Source organism: Homo sapiens, chromosome 10 (genome assembly GCF_000001405.40).
Source record: "Homo sapiens chromosome 10, GRCh38.p14 Primary Assembly".
Taxonomy (NCBI): Eukaryota; Metazoa; Chordata; class Mammalia; order Primates; family Hominidae; genus Homo; species Homo sapiens.
This window is the reverse complement of record NC_000010.11, coordinates 127,011,210-127,029,276: the sequence shown is the minus strand read 5'-3', so window position 1 is coordinate 127,029,276 and position 18,067 is coordinate 127,011,210. Positions and strand designations below refer to the sequence as shown.

The window sequence follows — 18,067 nt, the reverse complement described above, 5'->3', positions numbered from 1 at the left end:
GCTGGGGAGGCCCCGAAGGCCATGGTCAGCGGCCGACATCCAGGCTTTCATCGGCATCGCACCTGCGATGCTCAACATGTTTCCAAAATCCCACAAGCTGTGGCCACGGAGACTTCATTTATTATGCAGATGTGTCCTGGTATGTTGGGTGATAGCATCTTGTCTATAATGAGTACTTAAAACTGACAAGAAAAACAAGGATTTTGAAAATTAAAATGCTACAGGAGCTATCGCTCTGCCCTAGTGTAATTTATTAATTAGAGAGAATGAGCTTGTTAAAAGACGGGAGCGTAATTTTGAGACGAGTCCTCTGTGGATTCCAGAACCCCGTTCTTAACCTGCTTCCTCCGTGGGCCTCAAGGTGATATATGCGTGGAGCCCTAGAGGGTCTGGGGCACACTGCAGCCCACTAGGCTGGCCCCCACCATGCCCTCCATGCCTTGGTCGAGGACACACCTGTGCCCACAGCCACCCCCATTCCACCAGCACCCTCCGCTCACATCATACCTCTGCCTAATTCATGTGATACTCACAGGCTGCCACGCCCTAGCTGGTTCTTGCAAACTAATCTCAAACCTCAACTCAAACCTAAGCTCTGCAAGAGGAGAAACCCCAGCAGCTTGTTGTGTATACAGCAGGAACTCAATAAAAGCCAAAGGAAAGAAGTGGCCTCGCCACTCCCCCAAGGCATTGGAGCATAAGGCTCGGGCACAAGGACCTGGCTTAGAACCAAAGCTCTTCCACTGACTACCTGGGTGCCTTTCAGCCCCTGACCTGGGGTTTCCAAGCCCCAGTTTCCTCATCTGTAATGTGGGAAGTAATAATACTGATACCACATGGGAATCTTGCGAGGACGAATCCAAATAACACAATAAACTTCTTGTGTCGGGCACATGATAAGAGCATAGTGAACGATGGCCAACATCTGCTGATAGTTGTTATTATCCTACAGCTTCGGCCACCAAGGATGTTGTGCACCATTAGCAGATCCGACTTGGTCTGGGGTCTGGTAGCCTGGATCTGATCCTGGGGCAAGGATGAGATGGCAGGGAACTGCCTTCCAAGCTGGCGGCCTTCCTGCCCCTGCTTCTCCCGTTAGACATAAACCTGATGCCCTTGTAACTGAACCCCTGGCCTGCATGCACTGTTGGGACAGGACAGGAATGCAATGATGCTTTCGGCAGCTGCCAGCCACCACCCACCCCCCGCACTCCCCCGCCATGCACCACCCACCACCAGGCACTCCATGCTGCTTGAAACCCCTCCAGTCAGCCACATCCCAGGCCGGGCCCCACCACACACACATCTGCCATTGACAGTCATGGGCCGGCACCCCAGCTCTGCAGACCACACACCAGGCCTCTCCAACTCCCCTGAACAACAGCAGGCCCAAGCTTCTCGATGATCTGCACACCATAACATCATGACCGTGCTCGTGCATTTGCTCTCCAGGCTGCTCTCCTGCAGCCCCCCTGTCCAGGCACACCCACCCCACATGGAGGGCCCAGGGCAGGCCAGGCCCCAGAAATAGTCAGGTGAATGAACACATTATTCCAGCAGCAGCAACTACAATGGAGCCCCTATCCATACCAGGCAGCGTGCCAGAAGGTGGCCAGCCTCCACCTTGCCTGACCTTCAAGAATACCCTAGGAGGAAGGTTTAATGTTTTTTTTGTTTTGCTTTTTGTTTTTGAGACAGGGTCTCACTCTGTTCCCCAGGCTGAAGTGCAGTGGTGCAATCACAGCTCACTGCAACCTCTGCCTCCCGGGTTCAAGCAATCCTCCTGCCTCAGCCTCCTGAGCAGCTGAGACTACAGGTATACCATCACACCAGGATAACTGTTTTAGTAAAGATCGGGTCTCACTGTGTTGCCCAAGCTGGTCTCAAACTCCGGGGCTCAAGCAATCTTCCACCTTGGCTTCCCAAAGTTCTGGGATTACAGGTGTGAGCCACGGCACCAGCCAGAAAGGTATTCTTATCCTCAAATGAAGATACAGAAGAGGCTCATGCTTAAGCTCCATCCAGAGCACACAGAACCTGAAACTGCCCACTGCACGGTGTGACCCCCACGGGGTCATCAGTGACAAAGGGCGGTCTGCCCTCCACACCACTCTTTTCCTTTAACTGCCTGCGGCACACAAGCCTGTAGCCAACTCTCTTTGTCATTTATTGTCCCAAATATGAATATGTCTCAGTTCCCAATGCCAAAGAGACACACACCCTGAAAGACGGGAATCATGTTTTCCTTCTGTGATATCTTACTGTCTAGCACAGGGCTACAGCTTTAGTTGACAATTAATTTAACAAAATGTGATGGAACAAATTTCAGTCATCAATAATAAATTCTTTTTGAAGGAGAGTGATTCAAATAGCAGTTCTTTCCTCCTAAAGTCTTGGCACCATGGTCAGTATTCACAAAAATGTCTATGAGAAAAGCCATCCCTGAGCTCCAGACAGCAAGGGCCACCAAGGAAGACAAAAAGGGTTCAAGATTTCCAATTCTAAGACAGGCACCTTAAGAGCCCATGTTTGAGAGGTATTTGTTACAGCTCAGTAACTTTTCTGATGGATGGCATGGATGGATGGCAAGTCAACACGGAAGACTGGAAAGCAAAAGAAAGAAGGGGACCAGCAACACTGGGTAGGAGGAACTGGAGAAGGAAATTAAGATCTCCTCCTGAGATCTGCTCAAGGAAAAGAGAGAAGAATGTTTCCAAGGAATAGGTTCCGGTGGGAAATGAGCCTTATTGTGTTATGATAGCGAGTTCCAGAACAACTGAGAGTGGCCTCTCGCGCTTTCCCCCAGTTCTCCCTTAAAAATACTTGGGGGAAGAAAGTGCTTGACTACTCACAGTCCTGTGATGACCTGTGGCGGAAGGTAAACCGAAGGTGACTGCGGTTAACGTCCTCGATGGGAATGGCCACCTTCAAGAATTGAAAAAGAAGTTTAAGCACTGTTATCAATATCATCCAGCGTAACAGCTTTATTCAACTGGAGCTATCAGGTACAACTGTAAACATTTCTAACTGCAGTGGTGAAAATACTGTACACCTAGTCCCCTATATGATTTTTCCAAAGACAAAATGCCTCTGCAAAATTTTGTATCATATTGTAACAGCTGCCAAGCCAACTGACTCCGTGACACAGCTGAATTTTTTTTTCTGAATGCTCTGACCATTACTGTTAAGATTCTTTTTTCTTTCTTTTTTTTTTTTTGATACAGAGTTTCGCTCTTGTTGCCCAGGCTAGAGTGGTGCAATGGCTCGATCTTGGCTCACCACAACCTCCGCCTCCTGCGTTCAAGCGATTCTCCTGCCTCAGCCTCTCGAGTAGCTGGGATTACAGGCATGCGCCACCACACCCAGCTAATTTTGTGTATTTAGTAGAGAAGGTTTTTCCATGTTAGGCTGGCCTCAAACTCCTGACCTCAGATGATCTGCCCACCTCAGCCTCCCAAAGTGCTGGGATTACAAGTGTGAGCCACCACATCCGGCCAAGATTCTACTTTTAAACGTTGCTGTTTTTGGGCCGGGCATGGTGGCTCATGCCTGTAATCCCAGCAGTCTGGGAGGCCGAGGAGGGTGGATCACTTGAGGTCAGGAGTTCGAGACCAGCCTGGCCAACATGATAAAACCCCAACTCTACTAAAAATACCAAAAACATTAGCCAGGCATCATGGTACATGCCTGTAATCCCAGCTACTCAGGAAGCTGAGGCAAGAGAATCGCTTGAACCCAGGAAGTGGAGGTTGCAGTGAGCCGAGATTGCACCACTGCACTCCAGTCTGGGTGACAGAATGAGACTCCGTCTCAAAAAAAGAAAAGTTGCCGTTTTTCTTCTTAGCCCCAACCTGGAAGGGTCTATATTCCTTCCACAGCTGTGGTGACCTGCCCACAGCTGCGCCAAAAAAGCTTTCCTGTTGTCACATTACACTCAAAGAAAAAAGACCTAATACATGCTGCCTCTAAGCAAAAATTGTCCCTAATTCTCACATCAAACATCTGTATTCCAGAGCCAACCCCTGGCCTGGTTTTCAAATATTCAAGCTCTTGGCGGTGAGACGGTGTTTACTCCATCGTGGAGATGTGAGCACGCTGCATTATGAAAAGGCACCATATCAGAGCTACAGAACAGGATCCCACTCCCCAGCAATGACCTCCACAGGCTGGCAGCTCGGTTTTTTTGTTTGGTGTAAAGACAGCATGCCACACATAAAACAGTACTGGGAAGAGAAAGACAATAGCTATCTTAAAAAGACTCTGTCATTTGTCTCCATGAACGTCCTATTTTTACGTCCAAAAGGAGATGAGAGTAAATGTATTCTAAGAAACACCAGTGTGGTTCCTTAGCAACCTTGAATGACTTTGTTGGGAGACACTCTGCCTGCCTGGAGCAGCTCCCGGGCTGAGGAGGATGTTAGGATGTTTCCTTGGGTTACAAATGAGCATTTCATAATCAGCGCCATGTGATAAAATGACCATGTAAATAATACCTTAACAGTCTCAAACCAGCGTGGCTGCTTTACTTGGTAGTAAATCACAGATTTGTACTCTGAAATCGCTTCATCACCAGCACCCGGGAAAATCACATGCTTTAAAAGAAGACATAAAGAGCTCACGTAAGACCTCATAGAGCTTGACACCATATACATCTCCCACTATATATGTGGGGGGACAGGTACGCTCCAAGAACACCAACACACCCCCACCACAAATGAACACGTTCCCAGCAAGGGAAGCACAGATCCACCTGAAGCCAGCGGCCAGCTCCAACCCCTGTTCTCACACATTGAAGATCTTGATGGTTATGACACATGGGGATGACACTGACCTCCAGTTCCCCAGACCCTCAACCCTAATAACTTTAACATTAGGATCTGCAGGAAGTTGCCTGATCCGTCCCATAGGTCTAGGGTGAGGGACTGTAGACTAAAAAGTGGGAACCCTCCCCTCCCCTTCCTCCAGCCATGAACACTGTTTGCTTCACTCCAACCAGAAAGACCAGTGGCAAGGGCAGCACCTATGTTTCCAGGGAGACGAGGCAGGCAGTGATGCTGGACAGAGTTCACCCAGAGAGAAAGACATAATGCTTCTCTTGGCGACACTGAGCCTTAGGCACAACCCCATGGGCCCAGAAAAGCCCAGTCCTCCAGCACTGGTGCAAAGAGGCACCTCACAGGGACAGCAGCTCTGATTTGACCTCTGGTCATCAGAGGAGGCAATAGCTTCTAAGTACCTCCCAGGTGGACCCTGCAGGCTGCTGTGGCCACGGAAGCAGATCTTCATGATCGCCGGTAGGTAGAGCACGAGGTCAGAGCTCTGGCTGTCATGAGCAGGTGCTCAGTTCCACCCCTAGAGCTCTCTAACGCTGAGCAATTTAATTGATTTCTTAGGGCCTTCATTTTTCTTCATCTCTCAAATCGTAACAATGGTATCTGTACTTCTAGTGTGACTGCTAGACCTTTAGGCCTTGGGCTTGTGACAGCAAATGAGACTCCACGATAAGGTTGGGCAAAGGTGGTCAAGACCACAGGGACCTGCTCGGGCACTGTGGCTCACGCCTGTAATCCCAGCACCTTGGTAGGCCAAGGCGGGCGGATTATTTGAGGTCAACATGGTGAAACCCCATCTCTACTAAAAAATATAAAAATTAGCCAGGCACGGTGGCACACACCTGCAGCACTCCAGCCTGGGCAACAGAGCTAGACTCCATCTCAAAAAAAAAAAAAAAAAAGACCACAGGGACCTCCTGAGATAGGCCAGCTGCCAGGACCAGAGGACCCCAGGCCCTGCATGGCAAGCTGGAGAAAAGGAAACAAGAACCAACGCCAATCCCAAGAAACGGGACTCCAAAGCCCCACCCTGACGACATCTATGCTGTAGCAGAGCCAAGGTGAGCACTTGGCAAGTAAAACTGAAACACTACAGATGAGCCCTCGCCACAATAAATACCTCTAATCGTTTCCCATCCTCATCGTACACAGACACCGTGACCTCCACGTTCTTCGCTGTTGTTTTGCTTCCTTTATCAAAATCTCCTTGAACTAATGTTACATAGATATCATTTCGAACATCACCTGAGGGGGGAGAAATCATACATTTAAAAAACAATCCATTATTAATAGCGTAATTGTGAATTTTGCAAGACTGTCTACCTATCCTCATAGATTATTACAAATACATATTAGATGATTATGAAATATTTTCTACAAAACAGTCTCACCATTTAAATACATGACAAGAGCAATTTTCATCATGATAAAGTTTTCTAGAAAGAGGAAAAATCTCAAAGTTTCCAATGATCTGCTTGGTTATCATCTGGGCAGAGGACACTCTACCCCTCTCAGGGTAGCCGACAACCAGAGGGGCTCCAATACTATTGATGGCATCCATGACCCATGGCAGCCCACACCATTGTCCCTTGTTAGACGGCTGGCTACGGCTGTCTGAGTCCTCAGTAGCCAAGGACTATCGCAGTATCCACTGGCACTCCCAGGTAACTGGCAAGGTTGCCTCCTATGCATTCTTCTTAAAAGCATGACTCCAAGAGTTGAACTAAAAGTTGATTAAGAATGAGGACCGGCCAGGCGAGGTGGCTCACCCCTGTGATCCCATCACTTTGGGATGCCGAGGTGGGTAGATCACTTGAGGTCAGGAGTTCAAGACCAGCCTGGCCAACATGGTGAACCCTCATCTCTACTAAAAATACAAAAATTAGCTACTGGGCGTGGTGGTGCAGGCCTGTAATCCCAGCTACTCGGGAGGCAGAAGTTGCCGCAAACCGAGATCCTGCCACTGCACTCCAGCCTCAGCAACAGAGCAAAACTCCGTCTCAAAAGCGAGCTAATGGGTGCAGCACGCCAACATGGCACATGCATACATATGTAACAAACCTGCACGTTGTGCACATGTACCCTAAAACTTAAAATAATAAAATAAAATAAAAATAAAGAAAAAAAGAATGAGGATCACCAGCCTAGAATCAGGGAGGAAAAACGGGTCTAGGGAGAAACTTTCTGCATGGCTCTTCCCTTCTGGCAGGCAGCTATCAGGATCCCGAATGGGGACCACAGAGAGAAGAACAAAACAGACCTGTCTGTTTTAAAGTGAGATGGGCTTTTAATTGTAGGGGGTAAAAAAAACGCAAGAAATGAGCTCAAGACTCTTCTTCCTACTGAGAACATAGGAAGCCCCTGGTAATGGCCCAACTGGGAGAACTTCACAAGCTTCATTAGTAACATGATTTAGAGGAAGCCTCGTTCCCAGCCACTGCTCCTCTGCTGCCTGCCTGGCCACCTCCCACGCCCTGACCACCCGCTCTCCCAAGGAGCCAAAGAGCGGTTCCGTCAAGAGCAGCAAATGCCCATTCTGGCTGAAGACCAAGGATCCCTTAAGGAAAATAACTCTCTTTGCTCCTTGCTTTCTTGTTTTGGCTTTTTTTTTTCTTTTAAACTGCTCTATTTTGGCTTTTAATGTATCCAACTATTAAATTAAGCTTTCATTTAAAAGTCATTATCATCATAATCCCAGTGGGTTGCCACCACAGCCACAGTAGCTGTGTGGAAGGAGGCGCGGCTGCCGCCCACTGATACTGACCACGAGAAGAACCGTGGAGCACAGGACGAGGGGCAGGTGCAAGGCCACCCAACCAAGACTTGTTGCTCATTTGCTGTGTGACCTTGGACAAGTCACTTAGCCTCCAAGGCCAGCACCACTAAACAGCCTCACTGATAAGGAAGGCATAAACTCCATGATCTCTCAGCCTAAAAATTCTATCAAGGCACAAACACCATCATCAAAAAAGAACTTCAAGGCCGGGTGCAGTGGCTCACGCCTGTAATCCCAGCGCTTTGCGAGGCTCAGGTGGGTGAATTGCCTGAGCTCGGGAGTTTGAGACCAGCCTGGGCAACACAGTGAACCCCCGTCTCTATTAAAATAAAAAGATTAGCCAGGCATGGTAGTGCGTGCCTGTAATCTCAGCTACTCCGGAGGCTCAGGCAGGAGAACTGCTTGAAACTGGGAGGCAGACGTTGCGGTGAGCTGAGATCGTGCTACTGCACTCCAGCCCGGGTGACAGGGCGAAACTCCCACAGCCTCACTCCCAAGTACACCTCAAGTGCGTTACTCCAGGGCCAGCACAGAAGTAAGACCTCATTTACAGTAAGCAAACCCCACAAATGGGCATTCACCATAGACCCTCATCAAATGCCTCCCCAGGTTACAGAACATTCTGGGGAAGAAGGAACTAGAAGCAGACATAGTGGACTCCTGCTACCTTCCCAGCTCAAAGGAAAACTTGGCATCGCCTGCCTGGATCCTTCATAAGGATTCCAGGAGTCCAACGAGCTATGAGAAAGTAGCAGAGCAGGCCGCTGGGTGATGGGACAGGCTCTGCGCTGTCCAAAGAAGACGCGCATCCCTGCAGACAGTGACAAAACCGGGTGATACACAGGTTCTGCAGGCTAAAGACAGCGAGACAGACTGATAACCGCCCATACTCTCTCTCTCTCTGGTGCCCACAGCGCGGCCAGTGATTACTCGGCCAACAGAGAACGCAGATGACCCACCCAAGCTAGAATCACTTCCTGTGAGATATATACCCGAGGACTCAGCACATGGAACCTGCCAGAACAATGGTCAACTGTATCATTTCCCTATGAATCTATCATGAGATGATCTACAAGTTTAGACTTAGTTTTTTTTTTTTTTGAGACAGGTTCTCTCTCTGTCACTCAAGCTGGAGTGCAGTGGTTGTGATCATGGCTCACTACGGCTTTGACCTCCTGTGCTCCAGGGATCCTCCCACCTCAGCCTCCCTAGTACCTGCTACTAGCAGCTACTACCTGGCACTCACCACCACGCCGGGCCTAGACTTAGTTTTTAAGTCTATCCATCATAAGGGAAACACTATTGGCATGAACTGGAAGCTTCTGAGTTTCCCTTTGAACATGAGGACATCCTAAGGATGCCAAGATAAATGCATATTGCCAATTGCTTCATCCTAATTTATAAATCTGTATCTCAAATGCAAATACAAATAATAAGTATACAAATTAGTCCACTCCCATTAATAAACCTAAATTAATTTCCTGCATATAGACTGGACACACACAAGCAATAGCTTCAGAATTGACTAAACGTCATGCTTTTCTTTCTGTACAGGTAAGCCTAGCTATTATTTAGCCTAACCAATTTAGATGTCTTTCATATGGATTTACCAGACCGACTATTCAATGACCCACAACAGCCCTGAAAGACAAAAGGAGTAGAAAGAATGTGTCTTGAAGTTGCACTAAAGTAAGCAAAGCAGTAACTCCTACAGCATGCACCCTGAATAGCCACCACTCTCCTGGCTATACAGCACAGGCCTATAAAAGGAGGCCGCGTTGAATATGGGGGAGTTTGTCCCCGTTTCCACGGCTCATTAGCTGAGCGACTTTAGGCTACAGTTTAATCTGGATAGGAATTCACTCAACACCAATTTGTGGGCTTCCAAGAGCCTCACGTGGTTCAAGTTAGTTTTGTTTTGAGACAGGGTCTCAATCTGTCGCCCAGGCTAGAGTGCAGTGGCGTGATCTGTGCTCACAGCAACCTCTGCCTCCCAGGTTCAAGTGATTCCTCCACCTCAGCCCCCCAAAGTAACTAGAATGACAGGCATATGCCACCACGCCCAGCTAGTTTTTTTATTTTTTTGTCAAGACGGGGTTTCGCCATGTTCCCCAGGGTGGTCTCGAACCCGAGTTCAAGTGATCCCCCCGCCTCGAACTCCCAAAGTGCTAGGATTACAGGCATGAGCCACTACGCCCTGCCAAGCCACGTAAGCATTACTTGCAAACCAAAAAGTATCACACGGATATAAAGGATACAAATTAACATGCTTCCAAAGATCTCTTGATGATCAAATCAGATTATTAGGAACGTTATTTGGAAAATGAAAAGTATTATGTAAATATGAGATTAATGTTAACACGCAAATCCTGTTATCGGTCAGTTTAGAATTCATGACTTAGAATTCATGGAGGAATGCCAGTATAACGTACACTAGCTGAGCGGGCGCAGGCACAGGCATTTCCATTCAGCGACCATCCAACCCTGCCATTTGCCCTAAGTGGGCTTCACAATGGGCAGCTCCCTTTCTGACCTCTTTCTTCTTTTGACCTGATGTCTACCCAGACATTTGCTGGGTGCCCACGCCCCCCTCACACAATCCTTGCAGCTGGGGAGAGCTGATCCATCCAGGGGTACAGGGGGCCAGGGAGCATATTCTACCACTCCGGTCACAGCCCCATGATCCATAACCATGCTGGGGCTTACAGGGTCACCTACCAGGAGCTGAGCCCTTTCCTTGCCAGAGCTCATACATGATGCTGCCCACACGTCATCCTCCGTGGCCGGCTACCCCCATGCCATGCTGAGAAGCCCTGAACAAGCCAGTTCTTACCAGGCATGATTATCTCCGGAAACCCTGTTTTTCGAGCCACAGCTGTGGTCCTGTCCACTAAATGCGGAAACTCTTTTCGGATCTGATGGATATCTCCAGGAAGTAATTTCAATGTTACCCACAAACCTGGAAAAACAATGGATGCTCTTAAGTCGCATTTTATCCTATGCATTTTTAGAAGTTTTCACGAAACCAATTTCAATGAATGAGAGACTTTTAATTCACAATTCAACATCTTGAGAGAAAAGGTGGGTATATGAGAAAGAGAGGGGCAAGGCAAAAGGTGCCTGTCGTGGGGACTCCATGCATCCAACGAGCTGGGATGCCAGCCCTGCCCTAGGGTGACTCACAGACAGCTGAACGCACATCAGCAGCTGCTGTGCACCCACTGTGCTGCTGAGGAATGCCAAGGACCAATGTCTCTTTTGAGTGGGTAGACATTTAAGATAAATCAGCAGGCCACCTTTTTCTAGGAGGTGGCTGAGAAGTCTGTCATTTTCTAGTCTCCCAGGAAAGACAAAGGCAGGGGAGGATTCTGGAGGTGAATTCGTAGCTTCGAGAACCCATCAAAGTTTCAAGTAGCTAAGCAGCATCACACAACCTGGGCGAGCAGTGGAGCACCAGTCTGCAGGGCCACCAGCAGGACAGCCCTCCGCAGCCAGGACAGGTGCAGCCTGTGGAGCCCAGGCCCTCTGTACCACAGTGCCACCGCAAAAGAAAACAAAGCCCCAGCCGCTCTCGGCTCTTTTCTCCAAGAGAGAAATGAAGACTTTCAAAGCCTCTAAACCTAGATGCCAGGGGTATCCTGGGGAGAGGGCAGTAAACCCGGTGGGGTCTATGTGTAAGGGCGTGTGTGCGGGATGTGCGCGGGATCTTCCTCCCTGCAAGGCTGACAAAGAACTGTGGTTTGTATAAATACTGAGTAGCAACCAAATAGGAGGTGACAGTACAAGGAAACAAGCCACACATTCCAACAAGTCAAAGGCGGGGCAGGCAGGGGCTCGGCCTGAGCTGTCTTCTACGACGACGGCATCTTTTCCCCCCATGGGAAGGGGCTGGCACTATAAGCCAGCACATGGGGGTGCTCTGTCCCTGAGGCCTCAGGGGGGGCTGCCTGCTTGCTTCCCCCCACTCAGCTTGGTAGGGCCTCATCTGCCCCTCAGAACATCAAAGCCTCTGTCCTCATTTCTGCTACTAGCATGGGTATGCGCGCATGCCTGTGGCTGTGCGTATGTCTGTGTGAGTCACTGTGTGTCTGTGTATCTGTATCTGTGCATGTGTGTGTGTGTGTCTGTGTGTCCATGTGTGTCTGTACACGTGTGTGTCTGTGTGTGTCTCTGTGTATCTGTGTCTGTGTATCTGTATGCGTGTGGCTAAATCTGTGTCTGTCTGTGTTTCTGTATCTGTGTCTTTCTGTATCTGTATGTATGTCTGTGTCTGTATCTGTATGTATGTCTGTGTCTGTATCTGTGCTTATGTGTATATCTGTATCTGTGTGAGTGTATATATATATGTCTGTGTGCGTGTCTGTGTCTATACCCATGTGTGTGTCTGTGTGTGTCTATATGTATATCTGAGTGGAAGGGGCTGTCTGTATCTGTGTGTGTCTGTGTTTAATGGTGTCTGCATCTGTGTGTGCGTGTGTATGTGTGGTGTATCTGTGTGTGTGTGTGTGTTTGTGGTGTCTGTATCTGTGTGTGTATGTCTGTTTTTATGGTGTATCATGTGTTGGTGTGTATGTGTTTGTGGTGTATCTGTGTTTATGGTGTCTGCATCTGTGTGTGTGTGTGTGTGTGTGTGGTATCTGTATCTGCATATCTGTGTTTATTTGTGGTGTCTGTATCTGTGTGTGTGTGCGTGTGTATGTATTTGTGGTATATCTCTGTGTGTCTGTGGTGTGTGTGTGTGTGTGGTGTGTGGTGTATCTGTGTTTGTGGTGTCTGCATCTGTGTGTTTGTGGTGTATCTGTGTGTGTGTTTATGGTATCTGTGTGTGTGTATGTGTAGTGTATCTGTGTGTGTGTTTGTGGTGTCTGTATCTGTGTGTGTGCGCGTGTGTCTGTGTTTGTGGTGTTTATATCTGTGTTAGTGTGTGTGTGTGTGGTGTGTGTGTGTGTATGTGCGTATGTCTGTGTTTGTGGTATTTGTATCTGTGTGTGTGTATGTGTGCATGTGTGTGTGTGTATGTGTGTGTGTGTGCAGCTGTCCCCTCTTCAGATGCCTCCAGAGCAGAACCTGCCCTCCATCACCCTCAGCTCAGCGCCCTGCCCTGCGTGGAAGGAACTGAGACAGTCACAGGCCTGTTCTCCAGCAGCCTGCCTTCTGAGCAGCACTGGGAGGTAACCGACAGCGGTGCCGGCACCTCCGGCTGTCCCTGACGGGAGCAGCCCTGCTTGATTCAATCCCGCACCTCACGCCCTGTCCTCTGGCTGCCCATTCCTATATCCGCTATCCTGGAAATGGCATTCTCCTTTGCTCAGATTTCCATTAGCTGGAGCTGAGAAGTCAAAAGTCACTGATGATGTTTTGTTCTTTGCCAGCTGGTGAAACCCCCTTTCCTCTTGCTATCTAGTGAGTCCCTCTAATTTATTCAAAAGTAGCTACTGAGCACCTACTATGTGCCAGGCAAATACTGGGCACTGCACCTACTGGAGACATAGGGCAGACCCTCACGACCTCCCCTGACAGGTGTTTAGCTTCCATTGCCAACGGTCAAACACTAACTCCATGGTCTCTTAGAGAAATATGCAACTGCGAAGTTCTCACGGGAGAAGTCCTGAGCACACTGCAAGGCATCCTGGGACCACAGTCTCAAGGGTCACAGAGGAAGGGACTTCGGGGCTGAGACCTGCAGGAAGTGAGGGAACTGCAGGCCTGTCCTCACCCAGGGGAGGTGGAGCCCCCAGACGCTGTGGTAAGACAGTGCGGAGGCTGGGGTGGCAGGGACTGTGGTCTATCTGAAGGATGGGGGGCACCCAGAGTGGGGCTCAGGAACAAGAGTCAGGCTCTGACCTGACACCCTGTGGCTACAGGGAATGGGTAGGCAGGAGAACAGAGCACAGTGGGGATGGAATCGCAGCAGGGAGGCCACCGCATGATCCTAGCTGGCTGGCAGGACGTGAATGCCACTATGGAGGGTGGGAGAGGGACCAGCGTGAAGGTCAAGTCAGCAGAACCACGGGGAGTTGGGGTAGGAGGAGGCGCAGCTTACAGAGACGGTGCCCCTTGCAGGCACAACCACTAGCAAGTCCCGGGGGCACCGTTCCTTGAAATAGGAAGACCCGCTCGCTCCAGGCAGAGCTGCCTGAAGGGCAAGCACCCAGAGTGGGGAAGGAAAGAAGAGCCCCGAAGAGGCAGGAGAAAGGCCCACTTTGAGAGCTCACAAGGGGACAGAGACCTCAGAGATAACAGGGGAAATGGAAAACTGGGACAGATGGTGCCCATGCAGCCACAGGGCTCCTGGTGGGAGACGGGGGCAGAGGGGGCGGGGGCGCTCAGGGAGAGGGCCGATGCTGGGAGGCAGAAGGGTGAAGATGAATGGGAGACGAAGACCAGAGGGAGAGGCCACATAGACAGAGACAGATGTATTACTCAGGGTAGGACTGCTTCTTGGTGTTTCTTTTCTTTCCTTTTTTTTTTTAAATATTTTTTTTCTTTTTCCTTTCTTTTTAAGATATGAAATTCCAGATCATGGGAGGGAGAGTTTGAAGAAGGAAGAACCACCAATAGAAAGCGGTCCCCAAAGAGGTATCGGGGATGGCACCCAGACAGGAGCACATGTACCACTGCCCAGAATGTGCATTTCACTAGACAAGTGACCACAAAAGGCAAGTGGGAGCTAAACCCTGCCTCTACTCGCTCACAGAGCCACAGGTCCTGGCGCTGGCTGCATCTCCCTACTCACCTGGTTGATGAGGCCCCTTTTTCTAATTCACACAAAAGCACCCTGAGCTAACAGCAGCTCCAGACCTGCAGAATAGGTAAGCAGACAGATGGGCAAAGGGCCAGGCACTTCCTCACCCTAACCCCCAGCCCTGGCCTCCGGGAGAGCAAACCAAAGCCCAGACCCTGACAGAAGAGCCTGAGGAACTGGCACCGTGGCTCACAGGGAGCTGGTCTTCCCTGGGACACCAGGATGCAGCTAAGAGTTTCTCAAATCTCAGGAGTTTGAGTCCAAAAGCCTCCCTGGAGAATGAATGTCCACAAAATATATCTTACAGAAAGATGCTCTTTGAAGGATTGCAGGATGTGGTGAGGTCATTATCTACAGAGGTCAAAGGTTGAGACATGAGGATGGAACACTTAACACTTAATATTAGAAATCCTGTGTTTCAAACACCTTTCTCAGAAACGCCGGCCTGCGCAAATATCTTAATACATAAACTAATGCACTAGTGACACATTAAATTTATTACCACACGCTTTAAAAATGGAAATTAAATGTTCCTGATTATGCTGTGTTTTAAATGCTTTTCTCACAGGAGAAAAAAGTGCATTTGGGGTTGACATTTGCTTAAGCAGAATAACTAAAAACAAAGAGGATTAGCATACATTCTATCTCAAACAACAGAACCAGATGTCTGGAGTCTTCATGAATTCACTGTCCACATAAAATGTCCCACACCTCTGGGTTCAGGGATCAGAATAATTTGGATTAAATATTCAGGATTTTTGTCTCTTGTGAAGAGGAAACATGTTGGCATAAACCAAAAACTGGCCAAGGCCAAGTGGTGAGCTCAAGAGACAGGAGGCGCATGTGGACAGAGGTGTGAAAAAACCCAGTGGTTCTCTCTGAAGATGAGTATCTCCTCCATGTCCCTTCCACTCCTGGGGCCGCTAACAGTCACTTGACAGACAAGCAAGGATCAGGTTAAGCCTGGGCTGCTGGTGATAAAATGAGCGCCGGTGGGCAGCGCCCTGCAGTCCCGGCGGCCGATCTGTGTGGCTGCCCTCACTGGCCACATCACTCACCTCTGACCTGAATTCCACCCACCATTGTGCCCTGGAGAAAATTCAGGTTCAAGGAAAACAAGCACTAGTCATGTTGCCTAAGGCCATTCTGATTCAGGAAGTCACCTGTGATCCCCTTGACAAAACTATCACTGTTCTTCTCCCTCAGTTTTCACTGTGACTTGAAAATGCCCACTCCTCCCAGAAGTTCAAGGAACTGGACCCCCGGACATGAGCCCAAGGTTCGCCGGCTTCAAAGATCCTGGCCACACACCAGTGAGCCTGGCAGAGGCAGGCTTCTGGTCCTCTTTCCCAGTGATTTCCTGCTGGCCTGACACCAAACTCCACTTTCCCTGAATGACTCTAATAAAAGTTTATCAAAACTCCGATGACTGCAAAAGAAACTGGAGATCCGAGGGCAGTCCCAGCTCGAAGCACTGAAGGATCGGCTGGCAACCTTTGCACTGGCACTCCCAGCCTGAGAGTGACTCCAATCTAAACAGCCCTAATTGGACCTCCCCGTGGTTTTCAATTAAAGTGTAAATTGGGAGGGCTGTTAATTTAGGAGAAGATGGGTCCTGGGTCAGCTGAAAATCGCTCTGTCTGCAGAGGCCACATCTCATTAACGTTCTGGGTTGGGGTTTTTGTCCTGCTACTGTTTGCCAGAAAGGGGGGTAGTTCACACCAGAAGAAAGCTGGAGGTCCCTGCAGATCCCTAGGAAGGCTCATTCTCTAAAACATTCTTCAGGCTCAATTCACATTCTCCTTTAGAACAGTGGAAATGAATCAAGATAATTGTTTTTTAAAAGTCTAGTGACATAAGGTAGCTGGACGATGAAGCAGGTCTGTTCACCTAAGCTCTACCGCGTTTACGGGCAGTCTGCATGGATCAGGGAGTGAGACGGTCAAGTTCTGAAGGTGACTTCCCCTTGGGCTGGAGGCGGGGCCTCAGTCACAGTTGTTTCCTGGCAGCCCTCCTGGCCAGCCAAGTGCCAACTGTCACCAGCCCGAGGTGACTGATTCATTCCTTCTGCCAGCAGCAGGTCAGCTGCTCAGAAACGTGTCAGTGCAGGATTAAAAACAGTGAGTGTGAGGCGGAGTGTAGGGGCGGAGAAATCACTTAAATGACAGAACTCAGGGGAGCAAGTCTGCACAAATGAAATCACCTTCTTAGGGAGACCAGCAGGGAAGACCCAGAACAGGCAAAGATTAGCACACAACACGGGCAGAGGGAGTTACGCCTACCGCCTGCATGTTCCTCTAAACTTCTAATCTGACCCCACTCTCCATCCAGGAGTGGGCTCTCAGCAATGTTCACAAAGGTGACGGGCAAGAAAACCATCATGCACTGTACACAGGGGCAACTGTCACACACATTCTCCACCACGATCACTGTCATCCCCATCATTATCACCACCATCATGATCAACATCAAACTAAAACCAACCCAGACAGCACTGCCCCAACGCATGCAAATACACGCTGATAGAAACAAAATAGGAAAATACGTACCCTGCCCCTTGTGGTTGACTTCTTTGGCAGCGATGACTTTGTTTATAACAGTCTGAAGGAAGTCATTCTCCCCTGCCACCCTGGGTGAAAAACGGGATGACATGTTCAGCGGCTTGTGTCGAATGGCGTCGTCCAACGCGAGCCTGGAGGGCACGGGACGACCAAGACCACAGGAGACAAAGGGGCACAGAGACCCATGGGCCACGGTAACAAGGGAACATAAGAGATCATCGTCACCGAGTGCGAGAGGGAGGCATCATGAGTCAACGCACGACAAAGGATGGGAGAGGTGACAAGAGAAACAGGGAAAAGCATTGATCAGGAAAATGCTGAACCACGAGAGGGAACAGAGCAAATGAGGGCAACCCTCTCCCCAGGAATAAACGTGCACCAGGCCTCCACTGCATCTCCATCAGACTCTTGTGTTTAAAAAAAGGAGCTTGTCTGAAAGCCACATGGTTGAAAGGCATTTAATCCCAAAGAATGTTTATGGCCATTCCTCCAATTTCAATTAATTCTGAACATAGCATAGGTCAAGGGGCAGGTTGATCTAAAGGGAAAAGCAAAATCAAGATTTAAAAAAAAAAAAATCCCTGGAACCTAACTGCTTGCAAAGGCTTTCTACTCTACCCTCCTGGACTACGTACACAATAGTCCCTCAAGTGACTACATGTGAGAAGAATGGTACCGTGTGTGGAGAACACCACTGCCTAGTCCCACGTGTGGCGCTGTTATGAACACAGACCACCCACGTTTTCAGGGCCCATGAACCAGGAGCCTGTGACAGATGCTGCGCTGTACGAGAGACTGGCTACAAACGGGGGGCATATGCCCAAATAGAAATACCATGTAGCACAGCGAAGTGCACTATGAAATGAGCAAGAAAATAGACAGCATGGCCATAATGTTTAAAATCAATCCTGGGAACAAGGACAGTGCTATCCATCACTTGAGCCACATGACTCGAGGGAACTGAAGACTGTTGTCATTTACGTCACCAAGTTAAAAAAGACAGGGAGGGAGGGAGATGTGCAATGTGCTTCCTTCTCTAAAACCAACCCTGTGAGATAATAAATCAGTTTTAATGGAGCAAAAAATGGTTTCATTAGCACGACATTTCCCAAAGAACTGGTTTCACTGCTTATTTTGCTATTAAAAATCATGC

At 49.0% G+C, this 18,067-nt stretch overlaps 1 protein-coding gene and 1 long non-coding RNA gene across 25 annotated transcripts in view; one reads left to right on the top strand and one right to left on the bottom strand.

Annotated features, from left to right (window-relative positions):
• Positions 1-18,067, bottom strand: part of DOCK1 (dedicator of cytokinesis 1) — a 547,089-nt gene that overhangs the window by 423,240 nt on the left and 105,782 nt on the right. For 10 of the 24 annotated variants that reach the window (XR_007061946.1, NM_001290223.2, NM_001377546.1 and 7 more), the window contains 5 exons: positions 16,903-17,045; positions 10,442-10,567; positions 5,953-6,077; positions 4,494-4,592; positions 2,853-2,925 (listed from right to left, as the gene is read on the bottom strand). Coding sequence is in view for 23 of the 24 variants with exons in the window: in NM_001290223.2 (NP_001277152.2) it covers positions 2,853-2,925; positions 4,494-4,592; positions 5,953-6,077; positions 10,442-10,567; positions 16,903-17,045 (566 nt within the window). In the remaining variant the exon portion in view is untranslated. The remainder of the gene's footprint in view (positions 1-2,852; positions 2,926-4,493; positions 4,593-5,952; positions 6,078-10,441; positions 10,568-16,902; positions 17,046-18,067) is intronic. The other 14 variants (NM_001377544.1, NM_001377543.1, NM_001380.5 and 11 more) reach the window with 4 other exon arrangements.
• On the top strand, positions 2,784-15,779 carry DOCK1-AS1 (DOCK1 antisense RNA 1). Its single transcript, NR_188215.1, has 5 exons — positions 2,784-3,005; positions 10,317-10,689; positions 13,180-13,354; positions 14,114-14,267; positions 15,560-15,779. It is a non-coding gene; the product is annotated as a DOCK1 antisense RNA 1 (long non-coding RNA).